At 40.6% G+C, this 14765-nt stretch overlaps 1 protein-coding gene and 2 pseudogenes across 3 annotated transcripts in view; all 3 read right to left on the reverse strand.

Moving 5' to 3' along the window:
* The window catches only part of TMEM150C (transmembrane protein 150C), a 79078-nt gene that overhangs the window by 5453 nt on the left and 58860 nt on the right, over positions 1-14765 (reverse strand). For 2 of the 3 annotated variants that reach the window (NM_001353454.2, NM_001080506.3), the window contains exons 3-7: positions 14431-14484; positions 14267-14299; positions 14099-14166; positions 7440-7567; positions 1433-1610 (exon numbers count right to left, since the gene is read on the reverse strand). In NM_001353454.2, coding sequence (NP_001340383.1) covers positions 1433-1610; positions 7440-7567; positions 14099-14166; positions 14267-14299; positions 14431-14484 — 461 coding nt within the window. The remainder of the gene's footprint in view (positions 1-1432; positions 1611-7439; positions 7568-14098; positions 14167-14266; positions 14300-14430; positions 14485-14765) is intronic. The other variant, NM_001353455.2, reaches the window with a different exon arrangement.
* Positions 2134-3027, reverse strand: RPL7AP26 (ribosomal protein L7a pseudogene 26; annotated as a pseudogene).
* On the reverse strand, positions 6178-7306 carry RPS6P6 (ribosomal protein S6 pseudogene; annotated as a pseudogene).

Below are 14765 nucleotides of genomic sequence, written 5' to 3' on the forward strand. Positions count from 1 at the left end.
TTTGAGTCAGGGTCTCACTCTGTCACCCAGGCTGGATTGCAGTGGCATGATCACAACTCACTGCAGCCTCAAATTCCTGGGATCAAGTGATCCTCCCCGCAAGCCTCCCAAGTAGCTTGGACTACAGGTGCACACCACCACACCCTGCTAATTTTTCTAAAACAAATTTTTATAGAGACCAGGTTTTGCTATCTTGCCCAGGCTGGTCTTGAACTCCTGGGCTTAAGCAATCCTCCTGCCTCAGCCTCCCAAAGTGCTAGGATTACAGCATGAGCCACGGCACCAGGCCTTTATTATTTATTTATTTATTGTTAGAGACAGAGTCGATCTTAGCTCGCTGCAGCCTTAAACTCCTGGGCTCAAGCCAGCCCACCTCAGCCTCCCCAGTAGCTGGGATTACAGGTGCTCGCCACAACACCCAGCGGATTTTTAGATTTTTTTTTTTTTTTTTTTTGTAGAGACAGGGTCTCCCTTTGTTGTCCAGGTGGATCTTGAGCTCCTGACTTCAAGTGATCTTCCTGCCTCTGCCTCCCCAAGTGTTGAACACTTCTGATTACTCCACTCCATGGAATGAGTGACTGATCTGATTGGTGGGATGGGAACTGGCAGGCTTCTATTGGGCCACACTACCAGTAGGTGAGGCCACTGCACTCCATCCTAAGCTAGACTCTCTCTGGGATCTGTGTGGGGCTAAGCGGAGTGAGGTGCTCTCCTCTGCCTTTCCCTGGTTTCTCTGCTTGTTACTGGGTGGTTAAGTTGAATTCCAAGGTGTGAGAGAGGAGACCTGCAGCATTTTCCTTTCCAGGTTTACTAGGATAAAGGCTGATTTCTTCATCCCCACCTGGCTCCTAGCATCTATTCTCAATTGGTTCAAACTCTGAGCGGAGGAAGGGAAATGAATAGCACCCCAAAACCTCAAATATTGGAGGAAAACTACACATGCAGCCTTAATCTAGTGCTTGAATTTGTCTTCCAGAAAAGCTTCATTATTTTCCTGAAATATATAAATGTATTGGTCCTCTGAAATTCATTTCAGAGCTAATAAATGAAATGAAATAACAGGGCCATTAATAAAGTCACAAATGCATTTTTTTAAGCTGGAGGAAAAAAATGGCAATTCTCTTTTGGCTGTGCATTCTCTGATTTTCACAAATAAGAACTTTTACATCATTAGTGAAATGAGAATGTATGACACCATTCCTGCAGATTGAAACAATCTGGAGAGGGCAGACCTTGTTTTATTTTTATTTCTCCATCTCCCCTTTGGCATGAAAAATTGGTCTGAGGGTTTTTGTTTTTATACCTGTTTACCTTTGCCTTAAGATTCTGAGAAGATCTGGCAGAATATCCTAACCCACTGGGTTCTTCTACAGAGACAACTTACTTGTTTTCATCTTACTGGCAAAAGAAGCTTTTCACGTTCAAAGGATACAGAGGACCACACAGAGAGTGATAGATGCCGACAGAATAACCCGTGGAATTCCAACTCTCCGTCCTTCATTCTTGATGTTGACCTTGAGTGTCAGCGCAGCCTGGATCCAGCAGGTCAATGTGCCAAATCCAAAGGTCAAGGAAGTTCCGACGTTATGGATTTCTTCATCATTTGTGAGCTTAGGGATGAATGGATAATGACACATGAAGGCCCATTCAGCAAAGAAGACAGGCAAGTTGAAGGAATGAATATATGAGGGGAAAAGATAGGAAAAGAAATATCCCAATAATGGGATGATAGATTGCAGAAAGATTAGCTCTTCGTTCTATTCTCAAATGGTTTGAACTCTGAGGGGATGAAGGAAATAAATAATACCCCCAACCCTTAAAAACATTTGTGTAGAAAAAGTAAAAGAAAACAGAAGGAGAGTTACAGAAAAAGAAATGTTTCTACAAGCATACACCCCAAACTTTTCCAGGATAAGAAAATTAGACCAGGAATTTGGACATGGTTTTTTTTGTTTGTTTGTTTTTGTTTTGGTTTGTTTGTTTGTTTTGAGACAGGGTCTTTACTCTGTCTCCCAGGCTAAAATACAGTGGCGTGATCACGGCTCCCTGGCTCAAAGCGATCCTCCCACCTCAGCCTCTGGAGTAGCTGGGACCACAGGTACATGCCACCATGCCTGGCTAATTTGTTTGTTTTGAAGGAAAATTTGTATTACTTTAATTGTTTTTTAAGTACAGAAAACTCAACAGTGTATATTTAACCCAGCTTGGTGGCAAGTTCTTTAGCCTTTGCCTTTTTGAGCTTAGCAATGTGAGCCACAGACTTGGGACCCAGGACATTGCCTCCCCAGTGATGGCGGATCTCATCGGATCTGTTTTTGTAATTGGTCCTGATAGCTTCCACCCGCTTAGCCAAAGCTCCTTTGTCTTCCAAGTTAACCTGTGTGAAGACAACAGTGGTGCAGGTCTTCCTGTGGACTAGACGTCCCAGTCTTGCCTTCCTCTTGATAATGCAGCAAGAGACCCCCATTTTACGACACAGGGCAGGCAGGAAGACAGCTAGCTCGATGGGATCCACATCGTGTGCAATCACCACCAGCTGAGCCTTTTTGTTTTCCACCAAGGTGGTGACAGTGTTAACTCCTACTCGAAGGGCAGGTGGTCTCTTAGTGGGGACGTCCTCTTTGCAGGCAGCTTTCTTCTCAGCCTGGGCCAACAGCTTCTGCTTCTTCTCTTGCTTTGTCTCTGGTCTGTACCTGTGGGCTAGCTTAAGCAGCTGAGTAGCTGCTTGGCATCCAGGGCCTGGGTGAACTGGTTAATTGCAGAAAGCACTTACAGAGGTTAATTGCAGCCGCTTATAGAGGATGGCTGTCTGCCACTGCAACCTGATATAGCGGGGCAATTTCACAAAGCGAGTGAGGTCACTTTTGGGCTGGATGTCCTGTCCAATGCCAAAATTCTTAGGCCTTTTCTCAAACCAGGGATTCACCACTTTCTTGGCCTCCTGCTTCTTCATGACAGCAGGGGCCGGAGCCACCTTCTTTACTTTGGCCTTCTTTCCTTTCAGCACCTTTGGCAGCAGGAGGAGAGCGCTAATTTTTTATTTTTTTTATTTTTATAGAGATGGTGTCTCCCTATGTTGCCCAGACTGGTCATGAACTTCTGAGCTCAAGTAATCCTCCCGCCTCGGCCTCCCAAAGTGCTGAGATTACAGGCGTGAGCCATCAATCCTGGCCAATATATATTTACTGATGGAGGACAGCCAATTCTAGGCAAGTCAATATTTAATTGGCACAGACAACTAAAACCCTTTAAGCTCTGTTCTTCACGCTTGCAAAACTGGCCCGTCTATGTAATGTGACTAATTCTTGTTTTTTTTTTTGGTTTTTTTTTTTGAGACGGAGTGCTCTGTCGCCCAGGCTGGAGTGCAGTGGCACTCAGTTCACTGCAATCTCTGTTTCCTGGGTTCAAGCGATTCTTCTGCCTCAGCCTCCCAAAGTGCTGGGATTACAGGCGTGAGCCACCATGGTGCCTGGCCTAAATAATTGTTTTTTGTTGTTGTTGTTGTTGTTTGTTTGTTTGAGACAGAGTCTCACTCTGTCACCCAGGCTGGAGTGCAGTAGTGCGATCTCCACTCACTGCAACCTCAGACTCCTGAGTTCAAGCGATTCTCATGTCTCAGCCTCCCAAGTAGCTGGGATTACAGGCATATGCCCCCATGCCCAGCTAATTTTTGTATTTTAGTAGAAACGGGGTTTCACCATGTTGACCAGGCTGATCTCAAACTCCCAACCTCAGATGATCCACCCGCCTCAGCCTCCCAAAGTGCTGGGATTACAGGCATGAGCCAACACACCCGGCCCTAATTCATTGTTAATGAGAATTTTTTTAGTTTTATTTTCCCATAGTAATAAGAAAAACTGTCACCTATGAGCTTTTGCCACATATAGAGACCCATAGTAGGACAACAGTACTTGAAGATTCATACTCAAGGCTTTTATAGAGGACTCCCATTTAGGTTATTGCCATTGGCGGTTATAGATGTAAACTCCCCAAATCATTACCAACTGATGTTTAAAATATATATCCATCACTTAAAACTCTTTTTGTATTTTCATGTGTATATATACATCTATACATATGTAAATATATATATTTTTCAGATTATCACCATTAGATCATAATTTTTTCAGTCAATCATACTTCACCAAGACTATCCACTTCTCCAAAAAAAAAAAAAAAAAACAACAAAGTCTATCCATATCCACATCTTCATCAAACCTAGCGTATATGTTTGTGTATATATATATATATATATATATATATATATATATGTATTTGAGATGGGGTCTTGCTTTGTTGCCCAGGCTAGAGTACGGTGGTATGATAAAAGTTCACTATGTATTTACATATTTTTAAAAAATTTTCTTCCTTTTCCTTTTCTTCAACATATATTTTTTAATTGCACATATAAGAAAGTAAAATCTATTGTTAAAGACATGGCTTTTAAACCCATTGTGAAAGTATTATTTTTTTGAATTGCTATTGCCTTCAGATGTTTTGTTGTTTGACATTGTTGTTCATAAGGGTTGCATCAAATCAATGTTACTTTCCTTTTACAATTTTTTCTATTGTTTTTGGCTGTAGGATTTTTGCCTCTTTTTTGGAAGAAGCCATGTTTTCTCTCACAGTTCAAAAGACATATTTTCAAAATTATTTAAAATAATGATATCTGAAATCAAATTTTGCTTCTAGAAAATTGGTTTTCCATGCTATATAAATCTATTAATTTATTATTAATCTTTAAAAAAGATAATATAGTTACATAGTTAAACTTAAAAAAATTATAATGAGGGATAGATTGAAAAGTCTGTCTGCCGTCCCATATACTAGCCACCTGGTTTCTCCATGGGAAACTAATTTGTCATTTCTCATGTATTCTGTTATATTCCGGCAAACGTTCTTCATAAGTAGTGTCAACATTCATGGTCTTGAGTATGTGTGGTTCACCAAAGCCACCCAATCTTGGGGATTTTTCTAGGACTTTTGTAAAGAACAAAATGTGTTCTTCTTAGTAACTCATCAAAGCCCTGGTCGAGAGAAACAATAGTGACTGAGCACTTTACAACATGCCTGTACCCTCAGCACAGGCCAGCAAGTAAGGGAAAGACTCCCAACAAAATTTCAGTTAAAATGCCCCATGCCTTACATTTTGGATCTTAACAGGATAAACTCTCAAATATTCTCCTGGTAATCACTGCCTCAGCCAATATATTCTAAGAATGCAGCTTTCTGGTTGCCTAGCTGGATATAGATGGGAGATAGAATAGTTAGAGGAATTGGTGGGATTGCCCATTTATAACTCACCAAGCAAAAAATATTTACTGGGTTGCTACTATGTGCCAGGGGAAGTCTTTGGGAATGAGTGATCCTGGTTTAATGAATCAGCAGTGCTGAGGGTAGGACAAGAAATGGCCTTAGAAAATCCACTACTATTTTCATTAGGAACATTACTAAATGAACGATAGAATGCTGAGGTCTTGAATGCCTATGCCATTTGCGATGTCATTCAACAGACAGGGGGAAGAGTGTCAGGATCAGTGTTTGCCCTCAAGGAGGAAGTTTCTAGCTGTAATATAAATAGCATAGGTTGGAGGTTGGTGGGGAGGGAGGGAAATCAGTCAACCACTGTCATAGTACAGAGGTTTCCTTGTCTATTTTACAAATAAAGTCATTCTTGTCAAGAGCTGGGTAATGGTATTGGCAAGGAAAATTATGCTTAAAGGTTGTGACCTTGGGCTTCTGAATTTCTAGGAAGAAGAGTTAGGAGTAGCATATCTTTATACAAGTCATAAGTGTTCTGGAGAAATTCTGGGCTTTCAAACTTGACTTCCACATAAACTTGCTAATCTGAAAAGCATCCTTTTATCCAGTAAGGATGTTTGGTGTTTAGTTATAGAAAGGTAATGATCCTACTGGTTTGCTAGAAAGGTACATTAGGATCCAATTTGTTACGAAAAAAAAGTATAAACCACTTGGAAATCCTCTGTAGAAAATATACAGCTGTTCTAGTAGCTGCTTTTCTCAGTAGCCACACTGTATTTCATAGGCATATGTAACACCCTCGCACATTTAAGAGAACTCAGGAAGACCAGGCTGAGAGACTAGAAAGGCTGAACTCTGGAGAACCTGTGCATGTTAGGAACCAATGTTCCTAATTTTTTTTTTTTTTTTTTTTGTGAGTCTGATCTTATTTGTTACTCAAAAAATCTTTTTCCTGACTAGATTCAGACTTAGAAGCAGAAGCTCGCAGAGAGGAAAGTCTGCGTCTCTTCACAACTTGTTCCTTGCGCTTCTCTTTAGCCTCCTTCATTCTCTTGGCCGAAAGTTTAGCATATTCTGCAGCCTCTTCCCTGTTTTTCTTAGTACACTGCTTCTTCAGAGCAATAGGCTGCTGTTTGTGCTGCAGGACACGTGGAGTAACAAGATGCTGAATCTTGGGTGCTTTGGTCCTAGGTTTCTTACCTTCTTTGTTTAAGGGCTTTCTTACAACATACTGGCAGACATCATCTTCTTTAGAGACACTGAAAAGTTTGACCAGGCGCGGTGGCTCAGGCCTGTAATCCCAGCAACTTGGGAGGCCGAGGCGGGCAGATCGCGAGGTCAGGAGATCAAGACCATCCTGGCTAACAAGGTGAAACTCCGTCTCTACTAAAAATACAAAAATTTAGCTGGGTGTGGTGGCATTCCCCGTGGTCCCAGCTACTCAGGAGGCTGAGGCGGGAGAATTACTTGAACCCGGGAGGCGGAGGTTGCAGTAAGCTGAGATCTCGCCACTGCGCTAAAACCTGGGCGACAGAGCGAGACTCCGTCTCAAAAAAGAAAAGTTTGCGGATTCTGCTAGCTCTTTTAGGCCCCAGGTGACGAGGCACCCTAGTATCAGTCAGTCCAGGTATAGCCTTCTCTCTTTTTTTTCACAATAACAAAGTTGAGAATGCTCAGATTGGCATCCACAGTGCAACCACGAACTAATTTTCTCTTTCTTTCTCCAGCTTTCCTTGGTCTATATATAACAGGAATGTAACAGGCAGGCGGGCATGGCCATGGGTCAAGATACCCTGCTTGTTGTTCCCACCAACAAACAAGAAACCTTGTTTGTTGTTCCCACCACTGATTCGGACCACATAACCCTTCCATTCTTCACCCAGAGCATAAGCAGCAATTTCTGTGGCCATATGCTTCTCATAAAAAGTACGAAGTTTGCGTTCATCTTCCACTTTAATGAGTTTCTGGCAGCCAATGGCTAGGAAGGAGCTGTTCAGCTTCATCTTGAAGCAGCTGAACAGCTCCGAGTTGCCATGGAAAAGAGTCCTAGTTTTTAAAAAAAGGTTTGTGCAGAATTATATGGGCCATATGGTGATTATACCTCAATAGCTTTGATAGTCTCAGAAGTGAAGGTCTTACCAGTGTCAGAGGGAGGTGAAAAAGGCCAAATCAAGTACCTGAAAATTACCAAGTAAGGTCATTCCGAAGGAAGCCAGACACAGAGCCACCAATCCACTAATATTCAGCCACGGGTTTAAAACCTTCGGTTTCAGTTGTATGAAGCGCAGAACAGCTACCACAAGGGCTAGGAATAAAGCAAAGTCTTAAAATGGAAGAAATTAAATCACACACCTAGACTGTGAGGCAGAATTCTATTATTATTATTTTTTTATGCTGCACTATTTTCTTAGGTAAGAGGCAGAATTCTAAAGCCGCAATGTGCAAAATTAAACTTTTCACCACAGCACATTTTACATCTCTGGAATGATCCACAATTTTTCAAAGAAACTTTCCATGCAATGCTTATGATTATTTAGATGTTTTATTATACTCAATCTGGGGAAAGCAGAGAGGCAGAGAGGACTCGAGGCAACAGGGCTGTATGTTACTTGGGTGAGGCAAGGATGATAGGACTATGAATAGTGTTGTTCTCAGAGTTTTCAAAAACAAGGTCAGCACAGGACAGACTGGCTTAGGAGAGCACTGCAGAGGCTTGGCACACAACAAATAAGATGGGATAAAGACAGACCGACTCAGGCATCCTTTAGCTTAGAACAGTGTGGAAAATAATGATAGGGCAGGAACATAATGGGAAGAAGACAAGGTTACCACATCTAGACAAAATTGCTGGTGCCAGCGCCATAAACCATTCCTGGGAAGAAAGATAATGGAAAATGTACAAGTTCCTTTATTACTGGTTTTACTCTCACTTCCCTTCGATTCTACTTGGAGGTGTTCACTGTCAAACAACAAAGATAGTTAATCCAAATTAGAGAAGTGACAATATTCATACTTATGAAATCTGTATTTTAACATAGCAGATTGAGGGATTTGGTATGTACTAAAAATCGTACCTAGTATATCAAGAAAACTCAATTCCTGAAAATAATATTAATTACTCATTTTAAATGTCCACTCTATCTTTTGAAGCAAATTGGTATCTGAGAATTTGAAGAGAGAATGAGGGAAGTTACTTAGATTTCAAATCTGACTTCTAATAGTAACCTTGGGATAGTCCATACTCAAGGCCCTAATCTAAGGATGACCTTTTTTTTGCCTAGTGCAGAGGTATTTTCATATTTATACGAAGAGTTGGGAGAGGTTAGTCTATAAATGATGAAAAATCACTTTCGATTAATGTAAATTATATCTACATGTAAGGAAACAAACTTACTACTAAGATAATTTATTTTGACGTTAAGGTTCAGCAGGAAAGACAATTAGAAATTCAAGAATTACCCTATTTGTACAGCAATTAAGTTGGTAATTATTTGCTAAAGGTTTTACTTTGATTACAGGCCATTATTAGTAGACATTAATAAAGAAAATCTATCCATAAATTTGCATTTCTCGAGTATGTTAAATTTCATAGTGTAACCCTATGGCTTTAAGCTTGATAAGTTGACTTTTAGTTCTAAGTACTTCTGATCAAAGAGTGGTATAAAACTTGATTAATATTTGGATTTTAGAAACAAAATAGAGATAAATCATGATTTATAAAAATCTCAAATTGTTCAGCCCTGATATATCTTTCAGTATATGCTTCAGCTAGTACCGACTATTGATCAGAAAATTAATACATTATACCTGAGTTGACAGTAGTTTCTCAAACTATTGGTTTGAGGGACCTAGGTAGGAGTTATATCCGAAGTCTTTAACAATGACAATAACAATCCTAGAGGATGAAAAATAGGCACAACGTCTTATTAATTTTAGGATAGGAGTAGGAGGAGGAAGTAGGGGAGAGGAGTAATTCAACACACAGCACTCCATCACGAAGTGATCATCAGCTAAAGAAGCCATTAGATTAAGCCTAGAGACTCAACACAGGCACTACAGGATATCCTTCTAATAAGTTGTGTATGGCTGTTAGGACATAATAACAAGATACTAAGACAGCACACTTAATTTTTTTTTTTTTTTAAACAGAGTCTTACTCTGTTGCTCAGGCTGGAGTGCAGTGACATAATCTCAGCTCCCTGAAACCTCCACCTCCTGGGTTCAAGCGGTTCTCCTGCCTCAGCCTCCCAAGTAGCTGGGACTACAGGCCCATGCCACCACACCCAGCTAATTTTTGTATTTTTAGTAGAGACAGGGTTTCACCATATTGGTCAGGCTGGTCTTGAACTCCTGACCTCAGGTGATCTGCCCACCTCAGCCTCCCAAAGTGCTGGGATTATAGGCATGAGCCTATAATATAGACAGAGTCCCTCTCTGTTGCCAGGCTGGAGTGCAGTGGCGCAAACTTGGCTCACTGCGACCTCCGCCTCCTGGGTTTAAGCGATTCTCCTGCCTCAGCCTCCTGAGCAGCTGGGACTACAGGTGCACGCCACCAAGCCAAGCTAATGTTTTTGTATTTTTAGTACAGATGGAGTTTCGCCATGTTGGCCAGGATGGTCTCTATCTACTGACCTTGTGATCTGCCTGCCTTGGCCTCCCAAAGTGCTGGGACTACAGTGAGCCACCGCGCCTGGCTGGCTAATTTTTTTTTAAATGACCACTGAAAAGTATTACTCTGAGAACTCTCTGCTGGTCATTTTGTGGGATAGGATGGTGCTGGAACTTGACCTAAGCCCTAAACCCAGTTCCTGAAATGGCTCTTCATGTTGACCCACCCAGTCAAAGAGTTTGTTCCTTTATGCCCAGGGGAACAGAGTTGTTGGCTGCTCTCTTCATTATCTATTTCTGTCCAGTAAACACAGGACATGCAACATCTTCTGGTCCCTGCGTTGCTAGCTGTCCTATTTGTAATATGAATGGTAAGTCATCTTATCATGAACAAATTATGAAATTCAGCAGGAAACAGAAACCTATTTGAAGACAGGGATTTAACCCAACACTCCTAGCTTCCAGAATTGCATTCTAAACACCACACTTTGCCCTTTTTTACCTCTTAACTCCATTATTAATCAGATCAGGGGAGGCATACTTTCCTTTTAAAATAGATTCTAGCTGAATTTTTAGAATGATGGATCTAATAAAAGATTCTGCCCCTATAACAGTTTTACTAACACTTAGGTATGAATGGAGGCAGATTTGGACTGTTATGAAGTCCATTTTCAACCAAGTAGTGATTTAATTATACCTTCCTGAAAAAGACTTACGGGCCATTTCAAAGCCATCTTTATATATGCTAACTTTTACCACATTCACGTTCTGATCAATAGATATATTTTTTTGTTTCATTAAAATTTTTAGATTTCACTAACAGTTTCAGAAAAGATTTTAAAAACTCATCCTTCTGTGGTTTTGGTATTTGAAACAGTCCTTTGCCATACAGGTGTCCCCTACTTAATTTTCCTGTCTATTTTCAAAAGAGCACAAATAGAGGCCGGGCGCGGTGGCTCATGCCTATAATCCCAGCACTTTGGGAGGCCGAGGCTGGTGGATCACCTGAGGTCAAGAGTTCGTGACCAGCCTGACCAACATGGAGAAACCCCATCTCTACTAGAAATACAAAAAATTAGCCAGGCGTGGTGGCACATGCCTGTAATCCCAGCTGCTCGGGAGGCTGAGGCAGGAGAATCGCTTGAACCTGGGAAGCGGAAGTTGTGGTGGGCCAAGATTGTGCCATTGCACTCCAGCCTGGGTGACAGAGACTCCGTCTCCAAAAAAAAAAAAAAAAAAAAAAAAAGCACAAATAGAATAATGGCTGATTTTTCTAATTACATTTTAAATTCTGAGTCTGACTGGGTTTTTAAAGTTCGAAACTCAAATAACGTCCCTTCCTTGCAGTTCTAAACTGGTACCTGGCCAAATTTTTGTTTTGTTTTGTTTGACTCTTTATGCATCAATGATTCCTATTTATGACTGCGGTAGAACACAACTGTCAATATGTTTTGCCTGAAGGAGGGAGAGTGGCTGCTATTCGGTGACTGACATCATTCAGCTATTAGCTTTATCCTCACAACCTCCCCAGGGCAGAAAATTATATTCCTTTGAAGAAATTTGTCTTAGGTCTTTTTCTCTCCTACCCCGTGGAAAGAAATGCAGTTTCAAGACAAAAAGCACAACTAATTCTCTAAAGAAAATAATTGAGCATTCAATCTTTGATTAGTCTGTCAAAAAAGATAAAATATCTTTGCTAATTTTAATACATGCTACACTGACTCATTTTTAGATTGTAAAGTATAATCTATAAGGCTGCTGAAAAGCAGTGACTAATAGGCGGTGTGGGTTATTTCTTAAAGTCAGTTATGTAGACTAAAATAATAGTCTGAAGTCTAACAAGGGCAGGCCTGGGGAGATGAAGGTATCCACAGTTTAGAGGAGGAATCATTAGTAAACTGATTCTTTTTCACTCTCAGAGTTGATAAATAAATACTTGTTGGTTTGCTCCCATTGAACAATAATCTTAATCAATTTTATGTCTACCAGATGGCACTCAAAATGATGAAAGATAATACAGAATAAACACTGGATGTTGTAATACCTTCGAGCAAGAGCTAGCAAAAGCTTAATTGCTTCTTGGTGGAGCAGGAAGGACTGGAGAATAAGATGATGACAAATATCATCTGGAAGAGGGGATCTTGCTTTCATTGCTTTGCTTTTGGAAATGCTTTTGTAATTAGTCAATCATAAGCCTTATAACTGGATAAACTTGTGAGCTATACAAACTGGGTTTTAAAAAAGTATACACTTAAAGACCACTGGGAAATATCAATTTGTCTTAAGCATACAAAGGAAACAATATGTGGCTTCCAATGTGCTCACTGGTTTGTTTAAAGCCCAGTGGAGGACAGACAGCTGGTGACAGCTTTTTTATATTTCAGGCTTGAGTATCACGCTTAAATGAGGTAGTATTTGCAAAGCACTTAGCATTGTTCCTGGAATAGAAATGATGGCTATTAATCGTTGTTGCCCCCTGTGGGAAGAGCATACGAATAGATGGCAGCCTGCAGGCCTACGTGCTATAATGGCAGAGGGGCCAGGAAAGGTCCCTGACCCTACCATTCAAGGTTCACTCTTGGGGCTTTGTGCTCTGTTAAATGCAAATGCAAATGCAAATGCAAATGTTCCTTAGCAGCTATTTATGTCTTGGGATGAATAAGTTTATTAGGTCTTTTCAGAAGAATGGTGTCAAGAGTAGAAAAAAGGAGCACGTATAAAGCTCCTGGCAGCTCTGAGGCTGAAAGCAGTGACAACCAAACCTGACTGCCCAGGACTGGCCCTGGTGCCCACAGGTGCACCAGATACTGCAGGTGCCATCCTTCTTGATACTTGTGAATATCTAGGATGTGGAAGTCCTGACTGCCAGGGGCATAAAGAGGAGAGCTTTTTTAAAGACTCGGCAACCCCAGCATCAGGGTATATTTAACTTTCTCCTTAGTGGTAGTGTAGCAGCCCAGGCTTTCCGGACACCTCCTGCTTTGGCAAATGGGATACGCTTTGGGGATGGCTGGGGAGAGCTTTGATGGAAAGGTGGTTAGCTCCAGGGAAGAATCTTGCTAACTGCACAGAAGCTCCCCAGCGTACTTCTTTTTGAAGCTTCAGGTTCAAGAGAGGCCTGATGAGCCTGACGGGAAACATTCTCCATGTTTCTCATGTTCTGGGCTTTCTGAACCAGCTAAGTTTCTGCCTGTGTTGCATGTTGGACCACCTGTCTCCCTTGATTTTCCACTGACTTCTAAAGGTCTTCCCATTCTTATAGCAAATATTAAAAAAGAATACATTAAGAGCGAGTAGGAATTTTGAGGGGTGGAGGTGAAATAACAGGTTACTTCTTTGGGAGACACGTCCCACAAAGGTTGAATATTCCCTCAGTAATAATACTACCTCTTACTTGGAGTGAAAGTCTCACCATCAAAAGAACCACTTCCAGAACACCATTGTGGGAAGGATGGGCTGTCTTTGGTCCATCCTAACATCATCCTGACAGTGATAGCCAGTTGACTCTTGGAGAGACACTGGGAAAGCCTGGCACTGAGGAGATGGTATACAAGGTAGATTAGAAAAAGGATAGAGTGCATGGCTGGTTCCCACCATCTCTGGAGGACTATGCAGGGTCATGGACGCACTCACAGAGGGACAGAATATTACAGGAGGGTCTTGGGCCCCAAAGAAAAAGGAACTGGGGCTAGATATGAGTACTAAAGGTTTCTTCTTTTTAAGCTTACTTCTCCATTTGCCAGCTTACTATGTCTATAGGCACAGGAGAGAGTGTAATCCTAATGCTGATGTTGACCTTTAGGTTTAAAGACAGTATCTACACACATCAACAAATATCACAAAGCCCATGCATTTTTTTCATCTTTGCTAGTGAAGGAATAAATAAAGCATTCTTTTCAAAGCAAATGTATTATACAATATTACATTCTCATACAGGATTTTATATCATGAAATATATTATTTTATGCAGCAAAATAGATCAAGTCAAGAGTATCTGAAATGATAAAGATGGTAAAGGGAAGAGAAAATGTAAGGACAGCAGGGTGAACGTAAATGGATGTACGAGAGAAAAAGACCTTTAAGACAAAGAGCTGGCTTCAGCATATTGACATCGTATGATACTAAATGATCAAATAAGCCCCCCATTGTTTTGACAAGGGTTTGGGAGAATTTAAAATACAAAAGAAATGTACCAAAGCACATAAAGCGTTCTTTACCCTCTTCTTACCTAGGAAGGCTGCCATGTTCATAACTTGACTAAACACACAGCTTGCAGGAGGATCATCACCTGCAATGCTTGAAAAAGATGAAATGTTTTATAGTTACTATATCAAAATCTATAATCCTCCTAACTTTTCCTACGGTCCCACAGGACAGAAGAGAATTGCTGGGTTACCTTATATATGGTGCATGCTTCACACCAGGTTTCCTGGATAATAAAAAAAAAAAACACAGAAGCTCAGGTTAAAGCACTGTCATTTGTGCAGTTTAACCTTCCCAGTGGGAAAGTTTTTGCTAAATCTCTTGATGAACAACGAATTACCCACAGATAAACTTTACCTTTCAGCTGAATTTAATGGTAAAATTTTGTCATCTTCCACAGCTATGAAGTATCTATCAAAAAAGAATAAGTTTATAGAACAAAGAAATTGGAAAAAAGAATCATTTGTTTCCCAGTTTTATTAAACTAACTGCACTAATTCATATTCATTTTTTCTAACTGAGAAATGCTCTTTTACAATTCTTTACCCATAGATCATCTAGTTCTTTGAAGCTCAAATGTCATTATTAGTAATATTTCCTTAATTTTCAAAACATCCCCAAAGTAATGGCCATGCTTATAAACTGGAAACTAGAAAACAAGGAAATAGAACTTACAACTTTGAGCAAACTAA

This window comes from Homo sapiens, chromosome 4 (assembly GCF_000001405.40).
Source record: "Homo sapiens chromosome 4, GRCh38.p14 Primary Assembly".
In the NCBI taxonomy this organism is placed as follows: domain Eukaryota; kingdom Metazoa; phylum Chordata; class Mammalia; order Primates; family Hominidae; genus Homo; species Homo sapiens.